This window comes from Homo sapiens, chromosome X (assembly GCF_000001405.40).
Source record: "Homo sapiens chromosome X, GRCh38.p14 Primary Assembly".
In the NCBI taxonomy this organism is placed as follows: Eukaryota; Metazoa; Chordata; class Mammalia; order Primates; family Hominidae; genus Homo; species Homo sapiens.
The window spans coordinates 97,595,195-97,622,755 of NC_000023.11; the positions used below are offsets into that span (position 1 = coordinate 97,595,195).

The 27,561-nt window shown below is 39.8% G+C and overlaps 1 protein-coding gene across 1 annotated transcript in view, besides 3 other annotated features; it reads left to right on the forward strand.

The window, feature by feature from the left end:
- The window catches only part of DIAPH2 (diaphanous related formin 2), a 920,156-nt gene extending 910,353 nt beyond the window's left edge, over window positions 1–9,803 (forward strand). Inside the window, exon 27 of the mRNA NM_006729.5 lies at window positions 4,059–9,803. Within this exon, the coding sequence (NP_006720.1) occupies window positions 4,059–4,123 (65 nt within the window). The 3' untranslated portion in view covers window positions 4,124–9,803. The remainder of the gene's footprint in view (window positions 1–4,058) is intronic.
- Window positions 1,848–2,349: an enhancer, noted in NCBI's record as "NANOG hESC enhancer chrX:96852041-96852542 (GRCh37/hg19 assembly coordinates)". NCBI's record gives its function as "activates a minimal SCP1, AML or CMV promoter by ChIP-STARR-seq in primed H9 embryonic stem cells {active_cell/tissue: H9 hESC(primed)}" and the evidence as "EXISTENCE:reporter gene assay evidence [ECO:0000049][PMID:30033119]".
- Window positions 21,415–22,614: an enhancer, noted in NCBI's record as "P300/CBP strongly-dependent group 1 enhancer chrX:96871608-96872807 (GRCh37/hg19 assembly coordinates)". NCBI's record gives its function as "activates an origin of replication core promoter dependent on BRD2, BRD4, P300/CBP, MED14 and CDK7 cofactors, with strong dependence on P300/CBP, by STARR-seq in HCT116 cells {active_cell/tissue: HCT116}" and the evidence as "EXISTENCE:reporter gene assay evidence [ECO:0000049][PMID:35650434]".
- Window positions 22,074–22,123: a silencer, noted in NCBI's record as "silent region_20913". NCBI's record gives its function as "represses an Ori minimal core promoter by ATAC-STARR-seq in GM12878 lymphoblastoid cells {active_cell/tissue: GM12878}" and the evidence as "EXISTENCE:reporter gene assay evidence [ECO:0000049][PMID:35858748]".

Below are 27,561 nucleotides of genomic sequence, written 5' to 3' on the forward strand. Positions count from 1 at the left end.
ATCTGAAACTTTGTGACATCCAGGTATTTTGTGGATGATGTGCTTTGTACATAGTTGCTGAATAAATGATTGCATGAATGAATTCTGAAGCAATACTATAATGGGTTTAGTCCATTTACTGCAGGACTCAGTTAAGAAGGTTTTGAGATGAATGCCAAATCAATTTATGCTTAGAAAAGGCATAAAGCTTCTTACTCATATGACAGCAGGGAAAGCCTTGACATCTGTTTGAGCTGGTTAACCTGATATTCAGAAGCTGCAGAACCATGTTTAAGCTGGGCCATGGTTTTATATTCCTTTTTAGTGAAAGATTTGAATATTACTTTTGTTTTGGCCACGCTTTCTCCATAGGATGCACATTTTCTTTTCTTTCTTTCTTTTTCCTCTCTTTCTTTCTTTCTTTCTCTTTCTTTCTTTTCTCTTTCTTCCTTTTTCTTTTCTTTTTCTTTTTTCTTTTTTGAGACAGAGTTTCACTCTTGTTGCCCAGGCTGGCAATGGCACGATCTCTGCTCACCACAACCTCTGCCTCCCAGATTTAAGTGATTCTCCTGCCTCAGCCTCCCGAGTAGCTGGGATTACAGGCATGCGCCACCATGCCCGGCTAATTTTGTATTTTTAGTAGAGATGGGGTTTCTCCATGTTGGTCAGGCTGGTCTCAAACTCCCGACCTCAGGTGATCTGCCCACCTCGGCCACCCAAAGTGCTGGGATTACAGGCGTGAGCCACCGCGCCTGACCCAGGATGCACATTTTCATATAACTATGTTCCTGTCTTCAACCTTATGCTTTAACCAGGTCACTCTTCATAGTATCAGAATCTATTCACCTTCACATGGGGCACATTTCAAAGCCTTTGATGAACAAAAAGAATCTGTTAGCGCATGCATAGCCGGCTCTGGTAGATTTGGAAGGTCCATTTTGGGATTGATTTCTCAGGCTTATTGCTGCATTAAGGCTCATGTTTACAAACATTAGAATCCCTTAATGAATTCTTAGACCATAATGTGTTAGTCTATGAATTAAGAAAAATGAAGCAGATGAAGAATATGACAAATCATGTTACCCCATCCTCCAATCAAGCGTGTTTTTCTGTATTTCATTGCACAATGTCCCCAACAAGCATATATACACAGACAGACCCTCCTCTTCCATTTTTCTCTCTTTGATTTCCAAAAAGATAACAGGCAGATTGGAAGGGATACCACTACTTGTTAACAAAGCCCTCCATATAATCTCAGGTAAATACATGTGTTGTCAACTATTGACTTTTTGAAGGAGAAGCCTGTATTTTTTTCACTTAAACTATACTAGTATTAGGAGAATGAGACTAGTTAGAAAAGTGAATTGGATTCAGGCTGGGTCTCATGGAGCTCTCAGATCATATCACATGAGCACCCAGTTTCTCCACCTGTTTCCAAAGAGGACATACAATCATGGCCACTATCACCCAAATTAATGTATATCACCTCTGGCAGCAATCATATCTAACATTTGTCCTTTCCTCATAAATGTGATGCCAACTATGAGTCCTGACCTTATAAGGGCCAGGCCACTGCTTTTTCCCCATTCGTTTTTAATACTATAAATATAAAAGTTGTATTTCAAACAATTGAGTGATTTTCAATCTCTGCTTAAAAAACATGACTCCAAACGTGGAAGTCGTCATCATTAGATTGCTAGCCACTAGAATGTGAAGATAAATGAAATCAAATTTACACACACACACAAACATGCAGAGTATAAGAGTATATATATGTATATATATTTGTTGGTTTTTAAACTAAATTAGTTTTAACATAAATACAGAGAGTTGGAAATAAAAGATCCAGATCAGCCATTGCTGCTATTGTTTCTAATGATATTTTTTTCATAAACGTTGTAGGTTGACATTGTGAAAATGTAAGTGGCAACTTTTACAGAATTGCTTCTTATAATTATCTCATTAATATTGGGACAAATTAGGCATCCAGAGAGGTGTGGGAGGTGGAGGCAAAGAAGGAAAGGAGAAAGGAATAAAGGGAGGGAGAAAATCTAGAATAATTCTGTTTTGTGCATGTCAAAAGCTGGATTTAGGCCCTGAACTCAATGTTTATCCTGCCTTGCAAAAGCTTCCATGTCTTTTCGTCAGTTTGTTTTGACCCGAAACTTTGTTTTCTCACACCAGATGACACCAGTAAGTTGCAGGTTGATGTGAAGCCTTACATCCCATCATTTATTGCTGCAAAGCTGGGTTTTTGGATGTGGTACTTGTCTTGGACCCAGTGGGTAGTGAGTGATGGTGTGGGGTGCCAGTAGCATTACTGAAGTGAAGTGTGGATGCCTGTTGACCTTAGTGTGTAGGACCACCAAGGCACAAGCCTTTTTTCAAGTCAGCATGATCCTCTGGGAATGCTACCGTCATTCTCACGTCTGGTAGCTTTAACACTGAATACTTTCATGCTAGCAATGCGGTGGGAACCATTGTATTGTAATCTCATTTTTAAATGTTTTCTAAGAAGTAGAAAACCAATCTGTATGCAAACCAGTGACATCTAAGTAATAAGTCCTTTATTCGGGAATGTTATCTTCACATTTTTAGCTGAATTGTGATCCATATCTCAAACTAAATAATGGATTTTTTAATGGTATCTTCAAAAGGACACCCAAATAATCCATCACTCAGATATATCTCTGAGTAGAGAAAATGCCTCTTTCTTTCTCACCTCTCAGTGATATTATTGCATCATGAAGCACTCAGTATGCTTTAAGTTTATGGCTGGTTGGCTCAGGACACATACCGTGGTGTTAATGAGGCTGGGGTCATGGAGGCCCGTTAGCTTTGCTCTGTTTGCTGACCACAGACTACCGGGAAATCAGTCAAGAGATGCTAGCACAGACAAGAACGGCACCATGGCAAAACCTCAGTAGTTCTCAGTTTTTCCTCCCCATACAACAGGCAGGATGTGTTAGTTGGGCGTCATCATCTCAAGGAGGAAATGAGTAGCAGCTTGGGAGGCCCCAACCTTTAACTCTGAACAAAGCAGGCCTGACATTTAGGCATTAACTTTGCATTATAATCCCCCATCATACCATTGATTTGCTGTGTAACCTTCATCACTAAAGCAGAGATAATAGGATAGAATGAAATGGGCTTACCTCCCGGAGATGTTGTGTGAATTAGCAAATTAACGAGTGTAAAGTGTTAGCATTTATGTAAGTGCTGGTGGTTGTCATTATTTCTAGGGACCTAGTCTCATTCTAAATAGAGAATCTAAGTATATTATGCTTTTGTCAGAAAGGGATTTTCACCCCACATCAATTGCATTTAAGCTGAGCATAAAACAGAGGTGATAATAACATAGTAGTGATCATTGCAATGCAGAGCTGTAAACCTTTTCCCTATTAAAGCTAGAACTATTTTCAGCAACTTTCAATGCTTTTAAACTTTGTTTTCCAAGTTTTGTTATCTCTATAATAATTATTCTTCCTGTGATGGGTGGTGGGAATGGGACCTGGAATAGGTCCTATTCATTATTCATTCCCATGATGACTATATAATATATTGAATTTTTTTACATCATACAATCAAGCAAATTTGGTAGCTAGTGTGATTGCCACATATTGCAATCATTGTAAAAAATAAAAACTCTTTTCTGCTCTGCCTATGCTGGTGTCCTCTAGAGGTAGCCAACATACAGATTGAAAACTCATGGGGAATTGAAGTGCTTTCCAACAAAAGGTGCTGTATATAGATCTTTTCAATTTAACATCTTTACCAAAGAATTTTGTTGTTGCCTGCTATTTCCAAGGGGACTGTGCTTGAGAGACTGCTTCCATTTCTTTTATCACTCTGACTTCGCTTACCAAGAAAAGTCATTTATTGCTGATTGCAGAACTCTTGAACTCAGCCGGGCAGCTGCCGCATGAACTCCTCAGATCTGAGTTCCTTGTTACTTATTTACATTTTCATTTGAAGTGATTTTTCAGGACTATTTGAAAACCTTTCTCAACCTAACATCATGTAATAGCAAAGATCTAAAACTTACCATGCTTTTGGTCCTTTTTCTGTTTGTCTTACAGATAACAGACGAGTACCTTTGGAAAGGTCACGCTCTCGCCACAATGGAGCTATCTCATCTAAGTGATTCCTGATGCCAAAGAATATGAAAATATTTAAGTAAAAACAAAATGATGCATTTTGAGAAGAACAAAGTGTGCACTCAGCGGCTGGAAAGGAAATAAGTGCATTTCTGCAAAGATCAAGATAAGCTGGATGAAGTAGTGTGCATTTGTAATACTATTGCAAGACTCCTCCCACAATTATTCTAATCTGAACACAGTTATCAGGATTACAAAATGTGTTCCATTTTAGTGTAAAGATGTGTATCATTTGTAATTGTGTGTGACCTGACTGTGATGATGGAAGTGTAAGAAATTGAAGAGTTCTAAGGCTTTCAAAAACACTCAGTCAAAAATTTAAAATCTTAAATGTGTAAGTCACCCCCACCAAAAACAAAAGAGAAGAAAAAGAATAGAAAGAATTATCCAGTGTCAGCTTCCAATCCCTAGTACATATATAATAGAAAAGGGCCAAGAAAAATATGCATCTTGATTTGGAGAGAGGCTAATATTATGCACACTGTAAGAGAAGCCATTTTGGAAATTCACGAAAGTACTGCTCCACCCCAGTTGAGTTATTTAGAATTTTATCTCAAGTGAAAGCTGATGGATTCATCTGCTTTGGCTGAAATTAAACTTATCATTAGTCTAGCTAGCATTTCAGCATGATATTGCAAGCACTTCTCATTGCTAAAAATAAATAAACCAAAGTTTAACCGAATCAGTTAGGGAAAGTGATTTAAACTTTATTTAAAGAGGTATTTTCTAATTATGCACAGATATCTACTTTATACAAATACTTTATATGGCTATTTTTGAGAAAACCCTCACATTTTAATGTTTATGCTAGGGATGAACCTGAAAATTCTATTACGTTTATTTAGATTTCAAAGGCAAATATTGATTCCTATGCTCTGTGGTTTATTTCTTTTTTCTATTGCTTCTTTCTCCCTTGAGTCCCTTGAAGGCAGGGAATAGACTTCTAGAAAACCTGAGAGGAAAAAGAATTCTTTTTACAGGAGGCAGCAGAAAACTGTCTGAAAGGTCAATTGTTTTATCTCCCTTTCCACTCTCTTTCCAATTTCACTTTGGTGGTCTGAAGAAGAAAAAGAAATTTTATGTATGTATGTGTAAATATGTGTATATATTTCTATCTCTTGCTACAATAATTCCAACTAAGTGAACTTCTCAATTATCATCATACTTACTTACCTTATATTAACAAATTAAGATGATGCTGCCAAAACAAGTCTAGCAGGGAAAACAGGTTCTACATTTTTCTTAAATAAATTAGGGAGTAAAAGTTATACTTAACTTGTCTGTCTATTATTTTAAAATATGCATTGAAATAATGTGGTATAACTTCTCTGGAGTGCAATTTTAAGTCTAATTCATGCAGATGATTGATTGTGATTATTGTAAGAAATTTCTTACATGTATATTTCTTATGTAGAAAATACTGTTTCTACTCATTCAAAGCACATTGTAGATATTCAGAGAGAAGAACAAATGGCTGGCTTGGCAAATCCCCATCTGAGATAAAGTAAACAAGTGACCAGCAGCCCACAGATGATTCCTTTATATAGATGTATAATGATTCAAACTGCTGCCTTTGCCTCCAGTGCATCCTTACTTAGGTATTATACTTCTTTAAAAAGCTCTGAAGCTGCTACAATAGAAAAATCAAAAAGGGTAACAGTATCTGAAATTTCACAGTCCTATCCGATCTGAAAACACACATACACAAATGCACACACATGCACACACACATTTAAGGGACATAGCAGTAACACTGTTTTTTAACAACAACAAAAGTTTAGGTTCTAATTTATGTAAATACCTAGTATGTGTATTTTTGACTTTACAAAGTCTTTCTTTTCTGAAATCTTCGTGGTATGGCTTTTTTAATTCTTTTGACAGCTTATCAGTCTGTAGGAGAATGATCTTGAAATGTTAACCCTGACTAAAATTTGGGAGCATATGCCTTGCTATATTATCAAGCTGGTCAAGGTAGAAATACTGATATGTATCATCACCTTTTCCAGATACAAACTTGCCTTATTTTCTAGTTTGTGAACAAGAACGAATGAAGTACTATTATTGATAACTTATATATTTTTATTTAGAGCAATCCCACATGCTTTTCACAAACATTAAAAAAAAAAACCTTTCAGGGTCTTTCATGAAGTTCCAATAGTTGAGTGAGTTAAAAGGTTTGTTTCCCAGATTTGTAATGGTCCTGCTCTAGCCATTTGCAGTTTTGTTTTAGATGATTGGAAAGTATATCACCAAAAAAAGTATATAGTGACATTTTTAGTATGAAACCAAATTACACTAAGGTCTTTTGTTGGCCATATTACTGCCACACATGAGAAGCACCATTTATGCAGATTTTCTTCAGAATATTTTTAAAAGGTACAGAATCCTTAAAATATTAACAACTAATTGCATCCATCATCTCCTTTGGCTGCTGTAACAAATTACCACCAATAATATGATGGCTTAACACAACAGAAACTTATTTGCTTACATTTTTGAAGGGCAGCAAAGCCATGCTCCCTCCAGAGGCTCTAGAGGAGAATCTTTCCTTGCCACGTCCACCTTTTGGTGGCTATTGGCATTTTTTGGCTTATGGCCACATTTCTCTTTCTGCTGTGTCTTCACATCACCCTCCTCTGTATACCTAATCTGCCTCTGCCTCTGTTTAATAAGGATCCTTATGATGACTTTTAGGGACTACCCAGATTACTCCAGGATAATCTCCTCACCTCATGAGTCTTAACTTAATTACATCTGCAAGGCCCCCTTCTCCAAATAAGATAAATTCATGGTTTTGGGGATTAGGATGTGGCTATGTCTTTTAGGAAGCCACTCTTAGCCCACCAGAGTCTGCCCTTTGGCCCAAAATTTATGTCTGTCTCATGTGTAAAAGACATTCATCCCATCCTAACATTACCAAAAGTCTCAACCCATTATATCAATCCTAAGTCCAAAATTTCATTCAAATATCATCGGTTCAAAAGTTCCAAAGCTTATCATTTAGATCATCTAAATCAGGTATGAGTGAAACTCTGGGTATGGTCTTTCCTGAGGCCAAATTCCTCTTCCTCTGAGAACCAGTGAAACAGAAAAGTTAATCTGCTTTCAAATTACAATGGTGGGAACAGGCATAGGATAACAGTTACAGACATTTCTGTCTCAAAAAGGAGAGAATGGAAATTGGAATGGAGTCTCCTGTCCCAATCATTTTCAAAATCTAGCCAGGCAAATTTCTGTTATATTTCAAGGCCTGGCAGTAATCCTCTTTCTCAGGGCTCCACCCTTTGGGCCTGTAGCTCTTCTTTCTTGGACTATGGATTGGGCCTCTGCCTCTGTGCCTATGGGTTGCACTTCTTCCTCTGTTCCCACACTTGGGCCTCTGCCTCTGTACCTGCAGCTCTGCTCTCGGGATGGTGCTTCCTTTATCTTGAAGGGTGGCACATGTTTGCAGCTGAGAAGTTTTATCAACGGGTTTCCTACCTGTAGAATTCTGGCAGTCTCACAATCTTCTTTCATTTTTTTCTGTCTCTGTCCCTTTTAGGCCCAGTTGGAAGTGTTTCTGATGGTAGAACATTCTCAAAAATCTTGTGGGTCTTCTACGTATGTCACATTGATTCACACATTCAGAAAAGAGGGTCCTCACAGATTTTTCCTGAACAACCCCATCTCTATTCTTGGCTTCTGTTGAAACAGTCAAATAAATCCACAAGTTAATGCCTAACCTCTTCAGCACTAGCCAAAGGTTGTCAAGACACACCCTTGGGCTTATCTACAGAGCACACTTTTCTAACAGTGAATCTCCTAATTTTAGCATCTTTTTTTTTTTTTACAATCATTCAGATTGTGAATTCAGGCTCAGAATTTACCCAGTCATCAGATACTGATTCCTTTTGTCCACTTATATAGTTATTTTCTCTTTAAAAAAAAATTTTTTTTAATGTATTAGAGATGAGGTCTCACTCTGTCACCCAGGCTGCAGTGTAGTGGTGCAAACATAGCTCCCTGTAACCTCAAACTCCCAGGCTCAAGGGATCCTCCTGCATCAGCCTTCCAAGTAGCTGGGTCTACAGGTGCATGCCACCATGCCTGGCTAATTTTTTGCATTTTTTTGTAGAGACTTGATCTTGCTATGTTGTCCAGGCTGCTCTCGAACTCCTAGCCTCAAGCAATCCACCCATCTTGGCCTCCTAAAGTGCCGGATTACAGGTGTAAGCCACCATGCCCAGCCTGTTTTGTCAATGTATCTGTTTTCTGTCTTATTTTACTATAAGCACTAAGAAGAAACTAAGCTATATCTCTAACACTAGACTTGAAAATTTCCTCAGCTAAACATCCAAGTTCATCATTTATTCAACTTTTCACACTACTGTAGTAGACAATTTAGATAGATAAACTTTTTGCCACTATATGACAAGGATTCCCTTTCTTCCATTTTCCAATAAAATCTTCATTTCCTTCTAAACCATCACTAGAAATGCCTTTAACATTCATACTACTACCATCTGGTAAAGGCAATCTAGTTTTTTCTATCACAGCCACCAAAATTCTTCTAGTCTCTACCCATTATCCAATTCCAAAGCCTTTTTCACATTTTAAGACATTTGTTACAGAAGTACCCAATCCGTCCCAGTTCCACAATCTGCATTAGATTCCCATGGCTGCTGTAACAAATTACCCTCTAGCCCAGTGGCTTAAAACAATAGAAATTTATTATCTTGTTGTTTTGGAGGCCAAAAGTCCAAAATTGAGGGGTTGGCAGGGCTGAACGTCTTCTGGAGACTCTAAGGGAAACACTCTTCCCGTGTCTTCCAGTTTCTTGTGGCTGCCATCATTCCTTGGTTTGTGACTGCATCTCCCTCTCCTCTGTCTTCACATCACTTCCCCTCTGTATATATAATCTACCTCTGCCTCTCTCTTATAAGGACACTTGTGACGGGACTTAGGGCCCATCCAGATTACCCATGATAATTCCCTTATTCCAAGATTCTTAATTATATCTGAAAGGACCTTTTTTCCAAATAAGGTACTATCACAGGTTCCAGGGAGTAGGATATTGAATATCTTTTTTGGGGAGGGGGCACCATGCAGCTCACTACACTATTCATTGCACACAAATGAATTTTTCACTTTTTAAGATGCATTCTTGGTGCTCAAACCAGATCGAAGTTTGTCTCTAAAAGCTATTGTCTGCACAGGCTGCTGCATGCTCTGTTGTTAAATGGATGGACAGGCTATTCTAAATTTTGGTTGATACTTTTGCTACTATGGGCAATTAACTTGAAAAAAATAATCGATCCCAACTCTGTGCTCTGATGTACCTCTTCTGCCCCTTTTATGACACCTTTGACCAAATGCCTTCTATGGTTCACAGTGCAGGCACAAAACTACCTCTGATACAGAAGGGTTCTTTACAAGCTTATTTTACATACCGTGAATCCCTCACCTAAAGGGAGAGGTGAAAGCAAAGACTGCTTTGAATGGGTATTGAGGGAGATTGTGTCCATACCAAGCCACCCTGAAGAAGTATTTCACTTGCAGTAGAACTGTGGATTTGTGCTGTCATTTCACCTTGGAATAAACACCTATCTCTAAGCAGGACCAAGAATGACTTGCAATCTATATGTAATGGCTACTTACTTATTCAATAAAGTTAAGATATACGTTAAATGTTGTGCTGCCTATGATAATTAAGATTAAAGACAAGTGAAAAGGCATGAACTATCGGGGGGGAGAAGCTTCAACCAAACAGAAGTGCAGGAGTGCTTTTGTATGTGCCTGGTCCAGTGGAGATCATGGGATCATATTAAAAACATACTTGTAGGAATCATAAGGTTTTCTTTAGCACTGCTTGCCAGAGTAGTGGAGATATGGTACAACTGAAAAGTTTAGAAACATCAGAAGGGTGATTTACACGCTCCAGAGAAACTGTTTCAACAGAGAAGTTTTTCGTTTTGTTTTGTTTTTTGTTCTGTTTTGGTATTGAGTATAGAATTAAGCAAGTGGGCTTCAAATGCTTAGAAGGGTAAAAATCTGGAATGAGTAATAAAAGGACTGTAGATTATTATTTTCTGGAGAGCCTTCAATAGAATAGCTCATCATGGGTGGGGTGACTTGAAGATGAAGGTCTGGACAACGTAATAACCAGGTCTATAAATAATACAATCAGAAACATTTGTTTCCAAGGCAAACCAAAGACCATTGTTTCCCTTGGAATGGTTTACATCAGGAATCAAATACATTGGCTTTTTCTCCCCCATGAGACCCAAATAGGCAAATTCCTTAATAGGAAGTCTGAAAACGTTAGTATCCACAACTAGGAGAATTTGAGCTTAAGGCCAAGAGCTCAAAGGAAAAATGGAAATCCAGAAATTAATATACATGCAATGCATGTAACATGCTATATAGTTTTGATGATTTATAATAAAAAGAAAGCTATAGCCAAATATCTCATTTACAGACTGAATTTATTTAGATGTCCAGAGTCCCAGTGGCCACAAATAAAATATTATTACAGTTAGTGTCCATTTCAGAAAAAACAACTTGCAAATATATGAATTATGCAAATCATAACTTTGTTCCTAGTTCTTGGAGATGAGCCAGAGTTCAATCTTTAGCCATGATGACCTTATATCTTCGATAATAGCAGTTCAGCTAATATTTTCACCTATATCTTGGCTAATTGAGGTTCAGCCATCACCTTTTGATGTTTATGAGCAAAGTGTAAACACTATTATCCTATTATTTGACATAATAATAAATAATATAAAACCCCTCGACTTCTCTACTTTGTTAAAGTCTGCCCCCACCCCCACTCCCCAGTGGGGCTGTTCTAATCATTGAGTGTCCATTTGATGCAAGCTGCTTTTTCAGGACACAATTATGAATTAAACATAGCTCCTGGCTTCAAGATCTCACAGCCTAGTGGGAGATGGGATATGTACAAACAGAATTGTAATCCAAGGTGGAAAGAAACTGATTGATGTTGAAACCGATATAAGGCCTGTGGAGGTTCAGAAAAAGCAAGAATTTAGTTTTAGAGAGGTGGGGTGGTTATTGGGTGGGAAGCTGGTATCTGTGTAGATTTTGTGGAGTGGCTGGCATTTAAACTGAAATTTAAGAGGTAAGTAGATTTGGATCTGTGACACTGTCATTCAGTCAGTATTTACTGAGCACCTATTGTGTGCCACACACAATGCTAGGCTCTGAGACTATGACAGTGAACCAGCTAGACGTGGTTCAAGATTCATGGAACTGACATCTTTTTGAAGAGGGAGGGAGGGAAGGCATGAGCCGAGGTATAAACTTGGAACCTTGGTGCATATGCAGAGAATATTGAACAATTCTGTTTCACTAGAGTGCAAGGTCCATGAAACACAGCAGTGGATGTGTGGTTTGGGCTTCTTGATTCAGTACAGGATAGGGAAATATTGAGGAGTTTTGAGCAAAGAAATTATTTGGAGCACTGAAGGAAGATGACTCTAGAAGCTCTATGTAGGAAAGGTAGAGTGGGGAGAGGCCACAGAAGGCCAACTTTGTTGGAGGTTACTGCAGTAATACTTATGAGAAATGAGGCCCCAAACTGGGGTAGCAGTTGTCAGTGGCACCACAGATACGCACAGCTGCAGCTCTGAGGCTTGCTATGATCCTTTTTTTTTTTTTTTTTTGAGATGGAGTCTCGCTCTGTCGCCAGGCTGGAGTGCAGTTGCACGATCTCGGCCCACTGCAACCTCCACCTCCCGGGTTCAAGCAATTCTCCTGTCTCAGCCTCCTGAATAGCTGGGACTACAGGCGCATGCCGCCACACCTGGCTAATTATTATTATTTTGTTTTTGTATTTTAGTAGAGATGGAGTTTCACCATGTTGCCCAGGCTGGTCTCGAACTCCTGAGCTCAGGCAATCTGCCCACCTCGGCCTCCCAAAGTGCTAGGATTACAGGCGTGAGCCACGGTGCCCGGCCGCTATGATCCTATTATCTGTACTGTTGAATGGCTCATGCAAGCCTTATAAGCAAGTAGCATCAAATCATAGAGACATGAAGCAGACAGGAGAACATGATTTCTGCACAACTTATTCAGTAATATTATAGTGATTATGGTAATAAGAGCAAGGGTAAGATCTCTAGGTTGCTTTCTTTTCCTTTCCTTTCCTTCCCCACCCCCTTTCAGTTCCCTTCCCTTTTCTTCCCTTTTCTTTTCTTTTCCTTTCTCTTCCTTTTTTTAAAACAACACTGAAAGCCAAAACATTGTATGGCTGTTCAAAGAAAGAAAAAACTGACAAAAGACTGAGTGCACATTAAAATATACTGATTCAGCTTTGGTTTCATACCGTCAGGAAAGAAAGATATTTAGATAAAGTATAATTTATGGGGAAAGCTTCAATTAGTTCATAGCTAGGCCTTCTTAAGTGTCTGGTTAATATTTTAAGCTGTACATTTAAGAGGTTCTTGAACAATTATTATTTTCTAAAAGAACAGCAGATTCTCTGTTTTACTATGGTCCCAGTAATCTCTTAGACTTTCAAACTGTGCCCAAGTCTATTCCCTTTATGCTAAATGTCTTTCTACTCAAATAACTCTAAGACTTCCCTCCTAGGACATTCAGATGCCGGGTCATGTGACACTGAATGGCTTTATTTTGGCTAATATTGTGTTATTCCAGAATGAGGCCTGTTTTATGAATCTGCTCTATCTCCTTCCACCCCAAATACCTTGTGTTGCCATCCCTCCATTTTCCTACAAAAACTCAAATATCACAATGGGAATTAAATTGAAAATACCTAAGTACTATGAATTTTCTTTTTGAACAAGTCTCGGAAACCTATGGCATATAATAGCACAGTGGCCTCGACTTTTGGACAAAAATCGAGTAATGGAGTGCTTTATCTGGCTGAACAACTGGTAGCACTTAATGGTGGTGCTTGAGGGAAAGAGGGAGGGGAAATGAAAGGGGTCATGTACTAAGGCCCCTAGCAGAATTCAGTATAACGATAAAAATAAAAACGTCTTCCAGATGTCAATGACTTTTTTACTTCAGAGCATCTGTGATAACAAAGCTGACTTGCTATGACCTTACATCTTGTAGTACTTTGTATTATTGTAAGGACTTCACTTTTAACATCCATTATCCATCATCACATTTCCTCTCAGTCTACAAACAAACATCTTTAAGGTTCCACCATACTATTAAACAACAACCTTCAAGCTGTGACTCTTCTTCAAGGCTACCAATGACCCACCTAACTGCCAAATCCTACGAATGCTTCTGAATCCTCATCCCACTTATTTTCTCTCATGTCTTCCACCAAGTGTACCTAGCCCTGTCTTCCCCTACCTCTCAGAAAACTCATTCCCCTTTATCAGTGGTTGTCTTCAAATGACCCCTAAATATAGGCATTCTTTTATTTTATTTCACTAGGTTTTGGGAGAGCAGGTGATGTTTGGTTACATGGGTAAGTTCTTTAGTGGTGATTTCTGAGATTTTGGTGCACGCATCACCCGAGCATTGTACACTGTACCCAATTTGTAGTCCTTTATTCCTCACCCTCCCCCCACCCTTCGCCCCAAATCTTCAAAGTCTATTATATCATTCTTATGAATAGGCATTATTGTTAGTTGCCTTCATTTGTGTTCTCTTCACCTTCCAGGGTCATCTTAGCCATATCCACAGCTTCAAGAATTTCTTTCATGGAGATGACTCTGAGATCTCTCCTGGACCCCAAAACCACCTTCCCACCGAAAAGGATAGCTCACACACTAAACTCCGTATATTCCCAACCAAATATGTTCTTCTCCAGCAAACTTATTTTTCCATCCAGGTCAGTCACCTGTCTCAGTATTGGCATTAGCCTTTTCCCAATTTCTATAGCTAGAAACTCTGGAAGCATTTTGTATTATTCCCTCTCCCCTAATATCCAGCCAGGCACAGAAGTTGCCCTCCCTGTTTCAGTCTCTTACCTCTTCAACCCATTCTTCACACTCTAGAGAGAGCATCCTAAAATGCCTTTCTTGGCCCACTTCAAAAATCTTTGATTGTTCTCCCTAATTAATGAAACCAGTGCAGCCTTCAAAGGTCTCAGGAGCAGACCCAAGCATAACTTTGACGCCTCTTCTACCTCATTCCTTAAGCCATGCCACACAGGAGTTATCATTGGAAAATGCCAATACTAAACATATGATTAAGTCACTGACTGTGTATATACCTTCATGCCATTATACACACATGCACTTTGCTCTGACTGTTATGGCCTCACTGCCCAGCCTCACCCTTTTTCTCCTATCAATCCTTCAAGGACCAATGCTGCCTTTCTGAAGCCTTTCTTAATTTTTCTTCCCCCACTAAAATAAATTGTGTTATCTATGCTCCCACAGCAATTTGTTCATACCTCTATTCTGGCCTTTGTTTCATTCTGCCTTCTACTACAGTTGTCTGTGTCCTTGACTAAAGTGTAAGTTCCTTGATGGCAGTGACGGTCTCATTCATCTCTGGGCCTTTACACAAAGCAATTGCTCAATGAATTAATGTGTAGTGTCAACTCTCAGGGAATTAAACAAATGAAAAGGAATGTTTGCTACAGGTAATGGAAAATCATAGCTAATTTCCTCATCCAGGTGAGAACATAGCCTTCATCACTGTCCTGGGAACTGAGGACCTGCCTAAGGTCAGCATTAAGGACAAACTCCCCGAACTGTGTTTAGCTGGAAGTTGACTTTAGAGGAGTACTTTCAGGAGGTGAGGAAGGATTGAAGACAAGTAGGAAGTTTTTTTCCTCCAAGGTCAAGCTTTTAACAAGTGCCTGCAATGTACACTGAGGGATTTGGCTGTACTCCAATTATGCTAATATGTTTTATATATGGGCCTCCAGCATCCAGGAACCACCTCCCTCAACAATTTAATAAGTGTAAATATCAAGGCAGAGTTGTAAATGTGGAACTTATTTGTAATGTACCAACCTTGTTATTATCAAATGTCACAGGGTATAAGTCATGGCAATTATGCTGCCTGCTTTTTATTACATTTATTTTACTTTTTAAAAGTGCAGTATATCCTCATAAGCTTCTCCTATTCTGCCCTACCCAAGGAACCTAGTGTGCCTGTGTGTTCTGGAGTCACAGAAGGCAGAAAATTTAGAGTCACAGGATTAATGGGCATCCCTAGTAAGAAAGCGACCTCGTGAATCATTGACTCCACGCACTGACACCATACCTCTACATTAGGCTTCACTGTGTATTTCAACAATTCAAGTTGTGAGACCTTGTGAGTTTCTCCATACAAGAGATTTCATGATTTAAAGCACAGAATTGTTCCTTCCTCCAGCTTCCTACCATCTGAGTGTGCAGATGTGTGTGTGTGGTCCTGTCATGGGAAAGTTGGTCATTTTGCACAAAGCCTTCAAACTCGATCGGCCAGCTTGGTGTGATACAGTTCAGAGTCACCTCTTCAGTGTTCTGTTGGCAGGTGAAAGTGAGGGGAAGTGGGCCTGATTTTTCTGGTTAGGACCAGAAAGGTATCCACTATATCCAGCACATAATTCCCATTTCCCAGTAGTCTCTTTCTCCTCCCACTTCTTACTAAATTGCATCAATCACTCAGAAGCGGAAGGGTGGGTGAATCTCTTCCTCCATATAACTAAGCATTCTGTGGCAACAGTCCTTTTTTCTTATAGAGGAGTCCTAACCTATCTGCAGGCTTTAGCAGGCTTCCCTGGTATCAGGCAGAAAACCTGCCAAGCCATAGAAATCTGTTGGCAAGTAGATCTGTTTTTAAGGGGTTTGAAAAGTGCCACTGCTTTCGAAGTTTCCTCGAAAGAGAAGGACCAAAAAGAAAAAAGTAATACTTCATCCTTGCACCTAGGAGGTACTTTAGTAGTCATATTTCCCCTAAATCAAAGCACCCTCCTTTGTTTTTGGTTTATGATCCAACAACCTCATAAACAAGCTATTCATCTCTTCATCATTCATCCCACAAATATTCATTGAACATCTACTGCATGACAGGCACTATGCTAGGCACTACATACCAGCAAAAGTAGACGTGTTTTAGGTCTTCATGAGCTTAGTCAAGTGGAGCATGCCAATGGCAAACAAATCAATATGTGATTACAGTTGTGTTTAGTGCCTTAGAAGGAAAGACTGCAGATATTGTAGGAGAAAATAATGGTGTGAGAGAGAGTGTGTGTGTGAGTGTGTGTGTGAGTGTGTGTGTGTGTGTGTGAGTGTGTGTGTGTGTGTGTGTGTGGTGGAAAGGGAAGGGGCCTAAGTTAGATTGGGTGGTCATGAAAGTCCTCTCTGAAGAAGTGATATTTAATTAGAGACCTAAAGGATGAGTAGGAGTCAGCCAGATTAAAAGTGCGTAATTGTGTAGTCAATGCAAAAAGGAAGTAAAGTCCATATCATGGGATAGTGTATTTGTCAGCTTTTGCTACGTTGTATGATGGTTAAAAACAACCCCCAAACCTCAATTAGCAAAGGTATGCTGTGGCAGCCACAGGTCATCTGTGGCACTGCTTCATTGTGTCTTCTTCATTCTAGGATCCTGGCTGAAGGAGAAGCCCTTTTTTTTGGACACGCCAATCTTACGGCAGAGGGAAAAGAGCAAACAATGCTGAACCTTGCCACAGCTTTCAATCTTCTGATCATATGTAGTGGAAGTCACTTTGGCTCACATTCCATTGGCAAAAGCAAGTTTTATGACCAAGTTCATGTCAATTCATCAGGGCACGTGGCAGGAGGCAGGAGGAAAAAAGAATCTATAGAAACAATAACGCAATCTGCCACAGCCCTTGTCTGAGTTCCACCTATACCTCTTACTAATAGACGTTACAAACATTTCACTAACTTCTCAGGGCCTCAGTTTCCTCACCTCTACAAATAATGTTTAAAACAACTGAAGAGAACCTAAGATGGTTTTTCAAGGGTTAGAGCTAGCCCTTAATTTAGGAAGCAACTTGGGGGAACTGAAAATATATAATCTGGAATCTAAGATTTCTCTACATTTACCCGCAGCATTTTCTTTCAATTACAATGATACAAGGAAGGCGAGTTTTAGCACGCTACCTTGGCCACTAACTAGCTATGTGATCTTGGGCAACTTACTAAAACCCTGTGAGCCTTGGACTATTGTAAGGATTGTGTAAAGTAATATATAGGATGAGTACATTTTGTGTATTATAATGGCATAAACATACTAATCATTATTATAATTATCTGACTGCCATGATCACCTCTACTAAGATCCAAAAATCTGCCTCTCGGCCAGCCACGGTGGCTCACACCTGTAATCCCAGCACTTTGGGAGGCTGAGGTGGGTGGATCACCTGAGGTCAGGAGTTTGAGACCAGCCTGGCCAACATGGCAAATCTCTGTCTCTACTAAAAATACAAACGTTAGCCCGGCGTGGTGGTGGGCGCCTGTAATCCCAGCTACTTGGAAGGCTGAGGCAGGAGAATCACTTGAACCCAGGAGGCGGAGGTTGCAGTGAGGCAAGATCTTGCCACTGCACTCCAGCCTGGGCAACAGAGCAAGACTCAGTCTCAAAAATAAAATAAAATAAAATAAAATAAAATGAAATAAAATAAAATAAGATATTAATAAATAAATAAATCTGTCTCTCATACTCTCAATCCCACGTTTCACCCAGCCACCTCAAGCTCACCATGTCAAAAATCAAACTTCTTTTCCCTCTCAGGCAGTCCCCATTCAGTTCCCTCTCCAGACTTCCTGATGTTGATCACTGGCACTGATGTGCTTCTAATCACCAAGGTCAGAAAACTTCAAGTTATCTCTTGACAGCCACACCCCTACTCAGTTCTATCACTTCTCCTTCCACAGTATAGTTTACATTTCTCTCTTTCTGATTTCAAAGCTACCACCTAAGCCCAGAACCTAGCACCTCACTCCTTGATTACTACACTAACTACTCTTACTCCCTTTACTTCACCCCAGGCCAAAGCAGCCTTTTGATTATCTGATTCCCGTGCTCAAAATCCTGCAGTGGCTCACCAGTAAATAAAAAAATAAAGTCCAAACTCTTCAGCTGAGTGGCCGACATCCTTCAGAATTTGGCCTGGCCCACTTTTTCCAACCTTTCTTCTCACTCTTACCCATATACACCTTCTGCTGCAGCAGTACTGACCTAACTCACCATTCTCTGAAAATCTCCAGGATCTAGAATAGCACCGTCCGGGAGAAATCTAATGCAAGCCATGACATGATTTTAAATTATGTAGCAGCTGCATTTTTTAAAATGAGAAACAAGTGAAATTCATTTTAATGTTTCTATTTTCCAAATATCATTTTAACATGTAATAAATCTAAAAATTAATAATGAAAAATTTTACATTTGTTCATACTATGTCTTCAAAAATCCATAAGCATTTTACACTTGCAGCGCGTCTCAATTTGCACACACTAGCCACATGTCCAGTGCTCCATAGCTGCACGTGGCTGGGGCTACAGTACTGGACGGCAGAGATCTATCCCCCACCTTGTGGCTCAAGGCAAGCTCCCACTCGAATTAGCACCTGTGGAAATGCTGCCTTTCAAAGACCCAGCTTCATAGCCTCCAAGAAGTCTTCCCAGATTCTCTCAACTGAAAGTCATCTTTCCCATTTCCATGCTATACCATACACATTATTTTAGTATATTAATACATTTTCAAATGTTTTGAGTAGATAACACATTCATTTGTCTCAAACTCAGAGAGGGTACCGAAGGATATGCATACAACATTCCCAGCCCGTCCCCCTTCCTAGCCAAACTAATTCCTTTCCTTAGAGGCCACCAATGTCATTTGATTTTTGTATGATTTTGCAGATAAATCTTACATACATATACACATGTATGTAAACACACATTTCTTCCATCTCTTTTTCAACAAATGGCGGCAAAGTAAACGTGCTGTTCTGTACCTTACATTTTTTGCATTTACTAGTTTACCGTAGTGACCATTCCACATGGAACGTACAGTACATGAAATGTTTCATTGAACTTTCCACTGCGCATTAAAGATCATTGTATTTGTGTCTGTCTCCCTGACAAGCCTTTTAATTTTTGAAGGGTATACATTTTGTCTTCTTTTCCGTATCCTCGCAAAGCTCTGCATCCTGGACTCTGGTGCTATACACAATACTCAATAAATATTTATTAAATTGCTCAATCAGAATGATCTTCTTAAAATGCTCTTTTGCATTTGACACTCTCACCCCCAGGAAAATAACATTAACTTCTAATTGCCCACAGCATACTTTCTTTCTTTCTTACTTTCTTTTTTTTTTTTTTTTTTTTTTGAGACAGAGTCTCACTCTGTCACCCAGGCTGGAGTGCAGTGGCGCCAGCCCAGCTCACTGCAACCTCCGCCTCCTCGGTTCAAGCAATTCTCCTTGCCTCAGCCTCCCGAGTAGCTAGAATTACAGGTATGCGCCACCACGCCCGGCTAATTTTTTTGTATTTTTAGTAGAGACAGGGTTTTGCTATGTTGACCAGGCTGGTCTCAAACTCCTGACACCTTCACAGTCAGGCCCAACTTTCCTTTCTAGACTAATCTTTACTCCCCAGAAACACACTCTTTGTTTTAAACAAGTCTCCTCACTGGAACTTTCCCACAGTTGGTATGTATGGACCTATCTACTTCTCTCTCTGTGTGTATATTTTATTCTAATGTCTTCCCAACTAGACTATAATCCCCTGAAAGAGAGGCAATGTCTAATGCCTTTATTCATCCCAGGACAGTACCTACAACTCCGTGATTCTCATTGCATGCTTGATGGGCTCGTAAATATCTTTCTCTAGGATTTCTTCCCTCCTTTCCTTTCCCTTGGGCCTGGCCTGCCCCAGGCTGGATGATAATTACCCCGATTGTACATTTCCTTTTGGCAGAGACAGAATACAGTTTGTTTCTCTAGTTCATTTTTATTTTTAAATCATTCTTTCCTCATTCAAATGATTCTCCAGCCAGAGAAGTTATAGGCAGAGGCAGTGACAAAGGTCAAAGCACATAATAAGTGTACTTTCTGAGAGGGAGTTTTTTTTCCCCATTTTAACATTTTTGTCTTGAATTTCAATTACTTAAATCCAAAATCACTGCCTTTTCCTATGTCTCAAATAATGGAAGCTGCTTTGAGATTCACATCAAAAGCCAACATGGCACTATAATGGCTCTCCAGCGCTTGAATAAAGCCCAGTAGTACTTATAACAGTATCAGCTCAAAAATGGGAAGCGTTACAATAGCTACCACTTAATGAGCACTATGTGGATGATACTATTCGAAAGCTTTACACCCTTCATTTTATTTAATCCCCACAATCATCCTGAGATAAACTCTATTATTCATATTTTACAGATGACTCAACTAAGGCTCAGGGAGGTAAGGTAGCATGATCAAAGTGTCTATCAGAAAGTGATAGAGATGGAACTTGAACCCAGGCAATATGGCTCCAGAACACATACTCCAACCCCTAGGCATATTTTCTCCCTTAGCTTGTGAGAGCCAATGCCTTTCCGGTGTATATTGCTTGAAATCTATTATATTTGAACCCCTCAGGAGCACAGGTGTCATCAGCCTCGTCTCTGCGTCCCTATTGTTTCCTCTTCCCTTCACTTGGTTCAAAAAGAACTGTTCTGCTTTTCCACTAAGCCTCTTCACCATTTGACTGCTACTATCTGGGGAAGCCTCTCTATCTGCACTCTGTATCTAGAGTGTTCCTTGCTGCTCGAAATATACTCCACGGTCCAGCAGCATCAGCATCACCAGGGAACTTGTTAGAAATGAAGCATCTCAGGTATCACCCCAGACTACTGAATCAGAATCTGCATTTTAACAGACTCTCAGGTGATTCGTGTGCACATTGAAGCTCGAGAGCAGCGCTCTCCATCTTTTGCAGTACTTACTCCCTTAGTAATTCCTTGCTGGAGTGTTCCGTACACAGAAGTCTAAAATCTATGGCTTGAAAGGGAGGGAATCATTTAAGCTGTTCCCTGTTCTCTGGCCTTTAGGAGCTCCAAAATCAGTCAGAGACCATGCTAAGAGTAGATCTTGCTGTCATTAGACTAACAAATATGTGGACGAAATGAAAAGACAGCCACGTTAGCCATGATTTCCTTTCCATATTTCATTCATGCTCTCCCTGTATCTCACACTGCCACAACACAGATGCTTTCTTTTATATCATGGGAACATTTTTAATTAAAGCATTGGAACCTTTGAGAATAGACAATCCTTTAAAAGTTAAGTTTATCTGTATTTACAAGCCTCCATTTATTTGGCAGTGACAATAGGAAAAAAAAACTGCTGCTAAAGGCATATAGAGGAATGATTAAGCTAATTTACAATAATTGCTTTAATCTTGACATATTGAATTGTAGTGTCTAACTCTTTGAGTTCTCTCGGTCTGAGGTAAAGGAAAAATATAACACTGTGTTCGATATTGTACCTCTGAAGCACAATGGAAATTTTGCCCTACAGTGCCAGCCTGTCACCCATGGTGTCCATGTGATAGAAGGGGAGAGATCACCCGCAATGTCTAATTGCCACTGTACTCACTCCTGTGCTTTAAGATAGAAAGCCCATGTTCAGAAGCAAAGCCATTAGCAGCTATTAATTGCTTAGCTCTAATAAATTGTCCAGACCAGGACTTAATTAGGGAAGACATTTAGGAACAGGACACAGGACAAGAGGACATAAAGGAGAGCCAGGAATGAGATGAAACCTGAGCAGCCAGGAAGGCCAGGAAGGGGCCCAGGATGGAGAGAGGGTAGTTGAGATATCCGGATGTCAACTTTACTTACTTTCTGATCGCGTTTCAAGACAGTCCGGCTGGTTGCTTCTTCTAAAGACTCCTATAGTTTTGCATCTATACCTCTCCAGGAAGCACCTGGAGTAGGAAGAGCCGTGGTATCTAAGGTGATATGAATGGTTTCTTTTTGCTCTTGGCAGCTCTGCTCACCCCTGCCTCCCCTGAAGCTGTCTACTTCTCTGCTTGATGGGACTGGCTGGGTCAGGCCTGGTTTTGCTTTCTGACTGACTCAGGTCTGAGTCACTGATCAAGAGGAGGAAGTCCTAATCATGGGTGCAGCCCTTTCAAGTAAGAAACATGGAATTTCATCAAAAGGGACTGTGAGCTCTCCGAGACATTTGGCTGACAGTTATTGTCCCATTATTTCACTTTTAGAGAAACTACATTCTTCATCTTTGGCCCTTCGTGAACTCTGCTCCACCAGTGATTTCAATCTCAAAGTTTCCTGAAGGGCTTTGGCCAGATGTGACCAACAGCTCATCATGAGCTGATATCTGGTATACGGCCTCAAACAATAGGAAGAAGATGATCATTGTATTCATGCAACATTTATATAGGTGTCTCTCTCCAGATTCTGGCAAGAAATTGCAAAAAAATGAACTATTGCTTTTGAATTGGAAACAAAGTACTTGGCTGCTAAAAATGTGGCACTGCAGCCCACTTACAACAGTTGAGGGCATTACAACAGTTGGACTCTCTTGGTGTCATTCCTTTAAAGAAAAGCATTATCAGCAAGAAGCAAATATGGGTCATTCTTATTAATATTTCCATACTCTAACTTCCTTCTGAGGGGCTTGGTGCATTCTAACTCAATTATCTCACTTATCTTTGAGGGCTTTTGATTATCTTGGGTGGGGTTGTGGGACAGGGAGGGTCGACACACAAGCACATATCCTTTAAGAGCTCACAGATGCTTTTACATCTAGCAACTTGTTTGAGCCTCGTAAGTCTATGAGGTCTACAGAGATGATCATACCTTATTTGTGAAAGAACCATGTTTGAAAGCCAGGGCTTCCAGCACTACATCCCAAATACCCCGAGAGCTGTGGCTCTCAGCACCACTGTTGCTGTAGACAGCATTCACTGTTCTTTAACTTCCAAGGATGTCAGGGTAGCCGTGCGCTTGCAAAGAGGGGGCACCAGGGCTTTTTTCTTCCCCTGCTTCATTTGCTCTTTATTTCTTACACTCTGACTCCTTATTGAAGGTTTGTGGCCCTAAATGCAGTTTCTTTAGCTGTCTCTTTCCCTCCAACCCCAGGTAGTATTTTAGCCTGGATAGTTCCCATAGGTATTTCTTTATACCTAAATTCAAAAGTGTTTCTTGACTTCCTTAAACCTATGCCCTTTTATGATCAACATCTTGCATGTCCTACCATTTCTCCCCCTCCCCTGACCCTTGCAAAGACACTGGAATGGACATTCATCCCCAGTGGAGAGTTCAGGCTCCTGGTTTCCATAGCCTTCATCTTATCCCTACCAGCAGCCACATTTTTACGAATCTTTATTTCCTGTTTTAAGAAAGCAATATGCCTATTTTTTCTCTGCGATATAAGGTAGCATAATATTGATAGGATCTTTCAAACTATTTCTCTCTGGCCCTGGTTCTGAAACATATAGCCCCTTGAGAAACATGGCTCTATTATTACCTATCAAGTTTTATTATATTTAAAACTGTTTCCACATCTGTTCCCCTAAACCGTGACCTCCTTGAGGATGGGGATATAATCTGGTTAATCTTTGTATCTGCAAATGCCAAGCAGAGTGCCAGGTACATAAATTGTTGAACGAACGAACGAATGAATGAATGAATGAATAAATAGTGCCAGAAGAAGACAATGCTACTCCATCATTTCCCCCATGTCTTGCTCTGTTTTTAGCCAAAGTACAAACTGGAAGTGTCTAAGATATTTTAACACCCAACTATGAATAGTGTCAATGAAAATGACAATAGTTCCCTTCTCTGTTCCCCCATTCTGTCTATTTTCCCATAGAATCTTTACTGCTCAGGTTCTATATGCTTCTGCTTGACTAATTATACACTTCTTTCTTTCTTCTTGAATGTTTAAACTGACAGTAATTGCCCAGAACTGAATGCATGACCTCTAAGAATCTAATACTACTAAAAAGGGACTGGTTTCACATTCTAATCTGGCTGTCATAATCATCCTCAAGAGGATTGATTCAGTAACTTGGAAGAGGTTGCCATGTCAAAATAAAGGTTCAGCTCAGCTCCACTGGTCAGCCTACCAGCTGCACCTGAACTTGAAAATACCTTTGTATTGTTAGTTGTTCACATTTCTTTTTATAATCAATAGATCCATGCATCTGGAGTGAAGAATCAAGTATTTTGTTTTGTTTTACTTCATTTCAATTTTTAATCTATCTAAGTTTCTGTAAAATATAATAAAAATAAATTACTAGATAAATATAATGGAAAAAAGTCATGCAAAATAAAAGCTCCCATCTTTTTTAGAGTCAACAGACACCAGAGTACTCTGTTAAATTGCTGTAAGGTTCCTGAATGCTTACTCTCAACAGCTACGCTTACCTCATCTCACCCCCCTCAACCCATGATTCTGGGATTACATCAATCTGTAAAGCAAGAAGTGAGGAGTGCTGCATGAGACTGTGTGCTTATCTAGGCCTTAACCAAACCTTATTAAGGCCTGAATTGTCCTTGAATCCCCAGAGCCTAGCCTCCATTATACCTAGTGGTTATTGTGTCCAAGTGAATGCCGGTGCCCTTCTTTAAAGGTCTATCCACCTTGTGAGTGTGAGTTAGAATTGATGTAAATGATTCAGCACTGTAATTAAAGGTGCAATCTCTAGAGACAGACTCAGTTTTAAACTTCTGGTTTAGCCACTTACCAGCTATAAGACCTTGAGCAAGTTATTTAACCTCTCCGTGCTTCAGTTTTTTTTATTTATAAACTGGGGATAATTATAGTATCTATCCCATAGTGATGTTGTGAGGAATACAAGATGTGACGCATTTAAGATACTTAGCAAACTGTCTGGCACATAGTACAAACTCAGTAAGGTTGGCTATTATCTCCACGTGACTGCCTTAATTCATTCAGGCTGCTATAACACAATACCATAAACTGGGTGATTTGTAAACAACAGAAATTTACTTCTCATAGTTCTGGAGGATGGGAGGTTCAAGATCAAGGTGCTGGCAGATTTGGAGTCCAATGAGGGTCCACTTTCTAATTCATAGATGGTGTTTTTCTGTTCTCACATAGTGAAAGGGGTATCTCTTTTGTGAAGGCACTAATCCCAATCATAAGGGATTCCACTTCATGACCCCATCACCACCCACAGGCTCTGCCCCTTAATACTATCACCTTGGGGGTTAGGATTTCAACATGAATTTCGGGGGCACATAAACCTTCAGACCATAGCAATGACTAATAAATGGTGTTAATGTCCCCTTCATTTCATAAGAGAGTGAAATTCCAAGTTTACAGTCCTACAGGCCCCTCAACCCATGACTCTGGGATTACAGAAATTGCTCTAAGGCATGCTGTCCCTTCTCCCTTTTTTCTACTCAGAGTAATGTCTCATTCTCATTGCTCCCAACAAGGCTCCTGCACCCTGGCAAATCAGTTTACTTACTATTGTTCCCTTATACTCAGCTAGCTAATTCTCACTTGTTGACATTTTCCCAGGACCACCATCAACCTGGATCACCCTCTTCTTTCATCTCTGTTATAGTCATTTTCCTTGTTCAAAATCAATCTCCAAAATAGCCTCCATAAACAGTAGTTCTCAAACTTTAATGTTCATCGCGATCACCTGGGGAGACTGTTAAGCATGCCCTTTCCTGAGCTCCACCTCAAATTCTGATTTACGAGGTCTGGGGTGAAGCCCAGGAATTTAATTTTTAAAATAAGGCCTCCCTCTGTCTACCCCTCCAACTGCCAGGGGACTCTGAGGCATTAACTTTTTTGGGTCATAGACTGACAAAAAATGTTTTATAAGAAAACATGAATTAACACCACTTGAATCAATTCTTTCTCTGAACTTTCTTAAATGCTAATACTTTTAATAAAGTAACACCATATTAATTCAGCTTCATTAAATTGGAAGTCTTGATACTTGGACAGAAGCTAGGCTGCCAAAAAGAGAGGTGGGAGGCTGAGGATGAATCTCCCTTCAAGATGATAAGTAGAGCTAGCCATGCATATTTAGATAGGTGCCAATTAATTCTTTGCTGATTTATTCATTGACAAAATTCTTTGTTTAGTCCACTCAAGGTCTCATCTACTATTTCTCTCACTTGGATTATTGCCCTAGTCTCTTACCCAGTTCCCCACTTCCTCTGATGCTGCCCGATAGTCTATTTTCCACATTCAACAGAAAACAATTGAAAGGTTTTATTCAGGTGAGTGATACACTAGAATTTTATTTTTTAAAGATCACACCGGTGTTTATCGTAGGATAAGGGCCAAAAGCTTGATTAGGATCTACAAGGCCCTGCATAGTCTACTCCCAACTACCTTTCCAGCCTCATCTTGTTTTATATGCCCCCTTTCTTTCAGTTCCACGATTAGGAACAGTTCCTTCTGCTGCAGAACCTGTGCATAAGCTCTTTCATCAATTTGGAATGTTCTTCTCAGCATCCCCTCCTAACCCCGTGTACCCACTCAGACACACACTTAGTTAACCCCTACTTATCTTTTGAATCTTAGCTCAAATGTCTCTTCCACAGAGATATCTCCCTGGCTTCCCACTCTAAGTCAGCTTTCATTGCTATATGTTTTCAGAGAATCATGTTACTTTTCCTCAGAATACTTGTATCGGTTTGTGATTACACAGTCATTATTATTACTGTAATTATTCAATCAATGCCCATCTTCTCTTGTAGATGGCAAGCTCCCTGAGGACCCAAAGCATATCTATTTTTGCTTGTCACTATATCCTCTGCATCTAGCATAATGATCAGCATACAGCAAGCCCTTAATAAACGTATGTTAAGAAATGAACAGGATGAATCCCTTCTGTTCCTTCCCAGAGCAGACCACAATGATCTAAACTTCTCTAGTTTCTTCCCAAAGCTAACACTGTCTTGACTGTGTAGGAGTGTGTGTGTGTGACATGAGTTCAAACTCCCCTAGAGGGAAAACCCCGGTCAAGGTAATAGGACTCAAAACCTACCCACTTAACCTTTAAGCTTTTGGCCAGCTCCATCCGCCAGGGGATGAGACAAGCCTGATCCTGATGGCTCCTGCCCATTGGCCTTTGCACTGAATAGTTAGCTTGTTTCTAGAAGTCACCCGGGCATCATGGTAAAGATGGGATCCTTGTTCAAGTCATTAAGTTGCAGTTCAGCATTATCAAATCTTGTTAGCTATCACCTTAACTAGCAAATGCCTTCTATATTAAACACTGAGTAATTTTACTTTGATTAAGTTATCCATCCCACTCCTTCTGATATGCATGTAATTATAGTTCTTGAAGTGAAATCGAGGAGGAATGGTAACAAGATATTGCTGGTGACAGTGATGGGGGGATGAATGGGTTGCTAGTGTAGTGTGATGTGTCATTTCTTAGCCCAGATGCCATTCAGAATTTCACAAGAGTGGTGCCACCATTTTACATAAAAGCCACATCAACAACCTGGAAAGCTTCAG